The following is an 8,801-nucleotide window of genomic DNA, read 5'->3' as shown; positions in this document are numbered from 1 at the left end:
CCGGGTTCACGCCATTCTCCTGCCTCAGCCTCCCGAGTAGCTGGGACTACAGGAGCCCGCCACCACGCCCGACTAATTTTTTTGTGTGTGTATTTTTAGACGGGGTTTCACCGTGTTAGCCAGGATGGTCTTTTGAGACCCACTATGTGTCCTCTGCCAGATCTCATACCTAGCCATTTATGCTTCTTTTCAGTTTTTCCTGATTATAAACAATGTTGCAGGGGAGCTGAAAGTCTTCCAACACTCTAGCTCAGTAATTACACTGCATTGTTAAATATTGCCGTCTTATTATCCAAAATGCACATGCCCATTTACACTCCCCTCAGCAGGTCTTAGCATGATCAGATTTTTTTCTTTAAAGATAGGGTCTCACTATGTTGCTCAGGCTGGTCTCAAATTCCTGGGCTCAAGAGATCCTCCTACCTTGGCCTCCCAAGGTACTGGGATTACAGGTGTGAGCCACGTGCCCAGCCAGATCTTTTTAAATTTCTGCCTATCTAATGAGTGTGAAATATTAGATCCTTTTTGCTTAATTTATGTTACATTGATAACATATGCTTCAAGAACATTGGATATTTCTGAGCATTGTCATTCATATCCTTTGGCCTTTTCCATGAGCGCTGTTTATAAAATCTGGGCCAAATCCTTTCTTGGTTATATCCATGCCAAATCTCTTCTCCAAGTTTAAGATTTGTATTTTCCATTTTGTTTATGATATCTTTAATTTACCAAAGAGTTTTTAAAAAATATTTTCATGTGGTCAAATTTACTGATCTTTTGGTTTATGATTTGTGCTTCTGGTATTGTGTTTAAGAAATCTTTTCCTGACCTGAGATCATAAAAACATTCTCCTTCATTTCCTTCCAAAACTTTTAAAGTCATGCTTTTTCATATGTTGGTCTTTAATCCATTTAAATATGGTTTGATGTCGTGATCTAACTTATTTTTTCCATATGGATAACCATTTTTTCCAATGCTGCTTGCTAAAAGTCCTTCTTTCCCTACTGATTTAAAATGACATCTGTGCTTTATACAAATTTCTACATATGAGTGGGCCTGTTTCTAGACTCTATTCTGCCTCTCTTTGTGCTAATATCACACTTTCTTATTACTATAATTTAATTAAGTCTTGCTGTGGTGGAAGTGAGTCCTCACATGTTGAACTTCGTCTTCAAAATCGTTCTGGTGGCTGGGTGCAGTGGCTCACGCCTGTAATCCCAGCACTTTGGAAGGCCCAGGTGGACGGATCACTTGAGATTAGGAGTTCAAGACTGGCCTGGGCAACATGGTGAACCTGGTCTTTACTAAAAATGCAAAAAAATAACAAATACAGAAAATAGCCGGGCATGGTGGCTTGCACCTGTGGTCCCAGCTACTCAGGAGGCTGAGGCAGGAGGATCGCTTAAGCCCAGGAGGTCCACGCTGCAGTGAGCCGAGATTGTGCCACTGCACTCCAGACTGGGTGACAGAGCAAGACTGTGTATCCAAAAAAAAAAAAAATGTTCTGGCATTCTTGGTTCTTTGTTCTACCTTATACATATTATATCAATTTGTGAACCTCAAAAAACTTGATTTGAATTTTAGTAGGAATATATTCAATTTATAAATCTCCTAAAATCAACATCTTTAGAAGTCAGTTCTACAAATTCATCCCATATTGTGTATCTTTCCATTTATTTAGGTCTTCAAGAATTTTTAAAATTATATATATATAGGTTTTTCACATCTTTTGATAGATTTCTTCCTGGATACCTTCACATTGTGTTGCTACTTTCACATATATATTTTTTAAACTCTATTTTTCTAGGTGTCCATAGCCAGTGAGTAGAAATTTCCTTTCTTATTAATGTTAACAATGTGTTCTTAGACTCTCCATTAAGTCACTTGTTGAATTATGAATTATTTAGAGGGTTTTTTTAAAAAAATTTCCCAATATATGGCTTGCTTTTCATTTTGCTACTGGTGTCTAACAGTTGAGGTTGCTCAAGAACAGTCTGTATGATTCTTTGTTGCAATATCAAGGATTGCTTTGTAGCCTCATATGTGATCTTTTGGTAAGAGTGGCATGTACTCGGAAAGAAAGATCTTTTTGATTTTGCTCATGGTGTTGCTCAGATCTTCTATATCCCTTCTGTAATCATGAACTATCAATTATTGAAAGAGATGTGTTAAATTCTCTCCCATGACTACAGAATTGTCTGTTTATCTCTGAAATTTTATCATTTTTTTGGCTTGGTATAATTTGATGCTATGTTTTAGTGTCTGGAAGTTATGTTTTTCCAATGAATTGTTCCTTTTTCTCTTCATTTATTTGACTTTTTTTTTTTTTTTTTTTTTTTTGAGACGGAGTCTCGCTCTGTCGCCCAGGCTGGAGTGCAGTGGCGGGATCTCGGCTCACTGCAACCTCCACCTCCCAGGTTAAGCAATTCTCTGCCTCAGCCTCCCAAGTAGCTGGAATTACAGGCACCCGTCACCATGCCTGGCTAATTCTTGTATTTTTAGTAGAGATGGGATTTCACCATGTTGGTAGGCTGATCTCGAACTCCTAACCTCATGATCCGCCCACCTCAGCCTCCCAAAGTGCTGGGATTACAGGCGTGAACCATCATGCCCAGCCTGTTTACTCTTAATATTACCATCCTCTGCCTCTTCTTTTCTCTGGGTTAATTTCTTGCTGGCGTTTTCAATACTTTTACATTCAACATTTCTTTTTCCTTACATTCTATTGTGTCCTTTTTAAAGTATATTGTTAGATTTTCTTCTATCCAGTATGACTGACAATCTATCTTGCTAACTGAGGGTTTAATTTTATTACTTTGTGAATTCTGCTACATTAGGATTTATTTTGGTCATTTTGTTTTACGCTTTATGCTTAACCAGATTTTTCTCTGCCTCTTCCTTTCTTGCATCTTTTTATTGACCATTAATAAAAATATTTTAGCCCGGGCATGGTGGCTTATGCCTGTAATCCCAGCACTTTGGGAGGCCGAGGCGGGTGGGTCACATGAGGTCAGGAGTTTGAAACTAGCCTGAACAACATAGTAAAACCCATCTCTACTATAAATAAATAAATAAATAAATTTAGCTGGGTGTGGTGGTGCGTGCCTGTAATCCCAGCTACTCAGGAGGCTGAGGCATGAGAATCACTTGAACCCAGGAGGCGGAGGTTGCAGTGAGCCGAGATTGTACCACTGCACTCCAGCCTGGGCAACAGAGCCAGACTTGGTCTCAAAAAATAAAATAAAAATAGAAATATATATTCTGTGGTGTTCTCTCTACTGGTTTGGAAGTCATGCATACTATTTCTCTTCTTATGTGATTAACTTTTTATAATTTTTCATAAGCATACTCGATTTAATAAATTCTAGAGTTAATTAATATTGCCACCCTTTGCCCTAAAATGCCCAAATGCCCGAACTCTGCCCATCTCATCTACTATTATGACCAGTACCCTTGTTCCACTATGTTTTTATACTCCCCAAGTAGTCTTTTTTTACATATTAGATATTTGTTGAAATTTATCTCATATTGTACATCTCACTGCTTCTTTCTTGGTTCAATTCCTTCTGAAGTATATTGTTAATTCTTTTAGCAAAGGTCTTCAAGTGGAAAATGCTCTCTGTTTTTGTGTGAAAGTGTTTATTTTGCCCATATCCTTGAATCATAGTGTAGTTGTAAGTTGACGGTTATTCCTTCTCAGCACTTGAACATATTATTCCATTGGTCTTCTGGCTTCTGTTGTTGCTGTTGCAAAGTTCCAGACAACCTGATAACTCATTCCTTTGTAGGCAATGCTTTTGTCTTTGAGAATTTCTAAGATCTTGGCCTTTCTACTTGGTCTTTTTTTTTTTTTTTTTTTTTTTTTGAGATGGAATCTTGCTCTGTTGCCTAGGCTGGAGTGTAGTGGTGTGATCTCGGCTCACTGCAACCTCTGCCTCCCGGGTTCAAGCGATTCTGGTGCCTCAGCCTCCTGAGTAGCTGGGACTACAGGCACGTGCCACCATGCCCAGCTAATTTTTTTGTGTGTTTTTAGTAGAGATGGGGTTTCGCCATGTTGGCCAGGCTGTTCTCGAACTCCTGACTTCAGGTGATCCGCCCGCCTCAGCCTCCCAAAGTGCTGGATTACAGGCGTGAGCCACCGCACCCGACTGGTCTTCTTTTAGTTATACTGTGTTGTGTCCAGTAGAGGATTTCATGTTACTTAACCTGCTGTGGTTCATAACTTTCATTAGTCCTCATTTATCATGTCTTGAACATCTAATAGATATGGTTGGTCCTTCACAGTCCACACTCCTTGTCAGTAAGCCCTTCCTCTGCATGTTCTGTCTCTTCATCTCTCTGCACAGGCTTCTGAAGATTCCTCAGATCTTTCTTTCCATTCATTAGTTATTTATTTGGTAATATATAATCTTTGGTTTAACATAGTAAGCTTTAAATGATAATTTTTAAATTTCTGAGTTATATTTGATTTCCTATGTAGCTCAGTCTAATCTTTTTGATGTCTTATTCTGTTATGTTATTATTATTATACTTCTTTTATGACTTCTCATTTTAAACATGCTTATTTTTAATCTACCTGATAATTATATTTTATCTGAAGTTGTTGGCTGTTTCATATTGTTTTTTGTTTTGTTCACTAACTATTGGTTTTAGGGGTTTTTTTTTTTTTTTGGTTTTGCCTCCCAGACTGGAGTGTGGCAGCACGATCTCAGCTCACTGCAACCTCTGCCTCCCAGATTCAAGCAATTCTCCTGTCTCAGCCTCCCAAGTAGCTGGGCACCACCACGCCCGGCTAAGTTTTGTATTTTTAATAGAGATGGGATTTCACCATGTTGGCAAGGCTGGTCTCGAACTCCTGACCTCTGGTGATTCACCCACCTCAGCCTCCCAAAGTGCTGGGATTACAGGTATGAGCCACCATGCCGGGACTGTATGGTAGTTTTTAATTATAAGTTAATCTTTAGTTGGGACTTCATATGAGGGTATGCTAGGAGGCCTAGGATGGATGTACGGCCTCCCAGAAAGGTTTTATTTTTATTTCAGCCAGGTTCCCAAGGATATTATTGGTGTGTGACAGCATTTTATATTAATTTCTTGGTGGGACATGTCTTAGACCACTCTAGTAATATAAATTTAAATATCATATCCACGAGAGGGCACATTAATTATTATAAATTAATTTTAAGGGGAGCTTTTTTCTTTTTCTCAAGCAAGCTTCCCTGTCATCTCCCTGTGTAAGCAGGCAATGGTTTTCAGTTCATCCTTACACCAGGGTCTCAGTTCCAACTCCCTACTCTTCTGGGGCCCAAGCCCCTTCTTGTGTGCCTGCTGGTCATGAAAGCCTAAGCTCCTTGATTTAATAAATTCTAAAGTGAATTAATATTCCCATATTGGATTCCCAGCCTGGCCAACTGTCCTCCCCAACCTTACCTCCAGCAGCCCCAGGGGCAACCCAGACTGGTCATAGTTCTTCCTCCATTTTTGACCCTTCAGCATTCCCTTACTTTCTTGCAGGTGCAGCTAGGCATTTATTAGACTGGATTCAGCACTTCTAGAAATTTGCAACAGCTGTTTTTCATATTACATGGAAACCTATGTTGTTGAAAAACAGAAGTATCCAATCTGCTGCTCAATAACCTAAAAGCTTGCCATCACAGGAACCCCTTCTTAACCCACAGAGTTGAACGCCAAGGTGTATTTTCACACGTAGCATATTCTTCCTCATGTCCTCATACTGAGTATGAAGAGATCTCTGATGAAGGCCATTCCTGAGGAAGCATTTTCAGGCTAACTACAGCTACCTTATCATAAAAAACCAGACAGTATTTCGCAGCGTGTGTCTGGCGTGGGAGTGGGAGTGGAAATTCAGTAGCTCTGAGTCCTGACTTGTGTTCTTCCTCGAATGTACGAGAGGGGCTTACCCGTATGTTGATCTTCGCTTTCAGTGAAAAGGGAAAAGAAAGGTGAATGCAGAGGAAGAGCTTCTTGCCTTTCTGAAACCACTGGCTGTCACCTTCATGTTTTCTCTGCTGTGACTATAGAAAGAGAAAAACCGAAAATCATTAGAAAACATTGTGGTTACGCATTCTCACTGCCAAGGCAAGCATTTGGTAACCTTGGGCAAGGAACAAAGCTAGCCAGGTCCCTCTCCCTTTCTTCTGACCCTCAAACCTTCCTGTCTGATTGCAATTTGCATCACGGCCAGGGCTTCATCATTTAATTTATCTCAGAGAGCATCCTGACAGAGCATGGCAGAACATTGTGAACCTAGACATTTGAGAAGCTGGTCAGAGTTTGGGAGCCAGGGGAGAAAGCTCTAGAATGTTTTATTAGTTCTCTCACCTGCCCCTCCCAAGTCAGGGACTCATGGGGAACGGGTGTGGAGAGAGGGAAGTTTTAATTCACTATTAAACATTCACTAAGCAGCTGGTAAGTGGTGCATAAGAAAAGACCATTCTCAAGAAGTTTACACAGTAGAATACAGTTTCCTTTTTCTGGAGTTGCTGGGGGAGTGTCTCACTATGTTGCCCAGGCTGGTTTCGAACTCCTGAGCTCAAGTGATCCTCCCACCTCAGCCTCCCAAAGTGCTGGGATTACAGGCATGAGCCGCCGTGCCTGGCCATTGAATACCATTTCTCACAGTGGACCTTGCTTGCCTCTCTGGAGTTCTACACAGTTTCTCACTGAGGGTCTGGGGGGACTGGGATGCAGGGGCAGAAGGTGGTTCTACAAGGAGGGAGAGAACTAGTGATGGGAGAATTCAGGGGAGGAGAGAGGATTAGGAGAAAAAGGAAATGAGAGTAAGGCATGCCCTTTAAGAAAAAGTCCCGAGGGAGGGGGGCCAGTGAACACGTTTCTGCTGTCTGCCTTAGACACCTGTCAGATGCTGAATGGATCATAAATAGGCAGAAAGAAGTTTGTGATAGGCTGGAAATAGCTCACCTGATGACTGCTGCCAGCAATGGGGGCAAAACCCATGGTACTCCCAGGCACCCAGCTCTCTACCCAGCCTGACTTCCTGGCTGGACTGATCTGCAGGATGAGGAAGTTCTGTAAAAGGGGAAGGCGGGGGTTCCCCTCTGCCCCAAGTGTGCCTTCTGAGCCTCCTTTCCAGAGAAGGGCTTTTGAGTGAAAAGAACGCACTTAACCTAGGCCTGCCCACGGACTACCGCAGCAGCTGCCCCTTGTTGAGCTCTGGCTGAGAGTCAAGCCTTCTGTGCTCAGCCCCTTCTGACTCTGCTCCCCAGCGGAGAGCTCTTATCTGCTGGCCTCCAGGTCTCGGGTTCCCATTACCACAGCCCTTCCCTCAAGCCAGTAGAACCTTCGCGAACACCTCCACTGCTGGCGGCACTCCCCAGCGTTAAGGCCTGAACACCCATGGGCCATTGAGAACCACAGAAGGGCTGGAAGGAAAGCCCAAAGTGTGGCTATGTAAATTGTGTTTTTAAATAAAATTTCCCATCAGGTTTTTCCCTGAGGGCTACTTCTTAGTCACCCTGTACTTTCCAGTTATGGGCTTGTTTGTTCACCGAATGAACCAAATAAATAGAAATAACTCTTATTTCTCGTGCTTTGTCTTTGCTTTCTTTTTTTCTCTTAGAAACTAAAAGCCTGTAGAGAGAGTGTCCATCCTCTGCCAAGGAGGAAAGAGGGAGGTGAAACAATTCCTTTGTTGAACATGAGGAAGAAACCGCATAATCCAGCAAGTGACACAAAAACAAAACACAGAGATATTGGTCTCAGGCTTGATTTGAGGCACTTAGTGGAAAGTCTCTCCACAGGCACAACACAGTCCTTCAAGGACCATGTAAAGCAAGCCTCTTCTTTTCTCTTCTCTTCTCTTTTCTTTTCTTCTCTTTTCTTCTTTTCTTTTTTGAGATGAAGTCTTGCTCTGTTGCCCAGCCTGGAGTTTAATGGTGTGATCTCAGCTCACTGCAAACTCCACCTCCCAGGTTCAAGCAATTCTCCTGTCTCAGCCTCCCGAGTAGCTGGGATTACAGACACCTGCCATCATGCCCAGCTAATTTTTGTAGAGAAAGGGTTTCACTGTGTTGACCAGGCTGGTCTTGAACTCCTGACCTCAGGTGATCTACCCGCCTTGGCCTCCCAGAGTGCTGGGATTACAGGCGTGAGCCACCATGCCAGGCTGCCTTTTTTTTTTTTTTTTTTAAAGGCAGGAACTTCTATGCTGAAATCTCCTGCTTGTATGCTTCTTGCTGCACCTTTGAGCTTGCTTGTCCCTCTCTCTAGAAACTTCTTGCCCAGAATCACAGCCCAACTTCCTCATTCATTTCACCCAAGTGTGTTCAAATGTTACTCTTCCAGAAGAGTCTCTCTTGACCATCTATCTAAAAGATCTAAGCCCTGCACCATCCCTGTACCTTGTCTTAATTTTCCCCCACAGCACTTCTCTCAATCTGACATTATCGCACATATTTGTATGCCTATTTATATTTTTTCTCCTCCATTAGAATGTGGAGGCCATGTCTTATTCACTTCCTTTAGTCTCAGGTCCAAGAATAGCATTGGGCATGTAGTAGGTGCTCAATAAATGTTTGCTGAATTAATGTATCAATGAAGACAGAGGTACTTGAGAGAAATATTGTGGCAATTTGCATTATCAGCTTTCATTTTCACACCTTGTTTTCATGCTGTGAGAGTTGAGGCCAAACGTTAAGTCAGGGGACCCTCGCTTCCAACATCAATTCAAGTTTGAGGGGTTCCCAAAGCCACCCTTGAGTATGATAGTGCACTGAAGGGACTCATGAAGTGGCTGAAAGCTGTTATACTCATGGTTACCA

General features: G+C 42.0%; 1 long non-coding RNA gene across 1 annotated transcript, besides 2 other annotated features; it reads right to left on the bottom strand.

Moving 5' to 3' along the window:
• On the bottom strand, positions 4,373–7,418 carry LOC124901265 (uncharacterized). Its single transcript, XR_007059464.1, has 2 exons — positions 6,943–7,418; positions 4,373–6,035 (listed from the first exon to the last, which is right to left on the bottom strand). It is a non-coding gene; the product is annotated as an uncharacterized LOC124901265 (long non-coding RNA).
• Positions 6,766–7,553: a transcriptional cis regulatory region, noted in NCBI's record as "candidate enhancer chr6.709 targeted for multiplex CRISPR interference". NCBI's record gives its function as "positively regulates CD83 gene expression with high confidence in K562 cells {active_cell/tissue: K562}" and the evidence as "EXISTENCE:mutant phenotype evidence [ECO:0000015][PMID:30612741]".
• Positions 6,990–7,129: an enhancer, noted in NCBI's record as "active region_24045". NCBI's record gives its function as "activates an Ori minimal core promoter by ATAC-STARR-seq in GM12878 lymphoblastoid cells {active_cell/tissue: GM12878}" and the evidence as "EXISTENCE:reporter gene assay evidence [ECO:0000049][PMID:35858748]".

The sequence above is a fragment of the Homo sapiens genome, chromosome 6 (genome assembly GCF_000001405.40).
Source record: "Homo sapiens chromosome 6, GRCh38.p14 Primary Assembly".
NCBI lineage: Eukaryota > Metazoa > Chordata > Mammalia > Primates > Hominidae > Homo > Homo sapiens.
The sequence above is the reverse complement of the archived record's forward strand: the minus strand, read 5'-3'. Positions and strand labels throughout refer to the sequence as shown.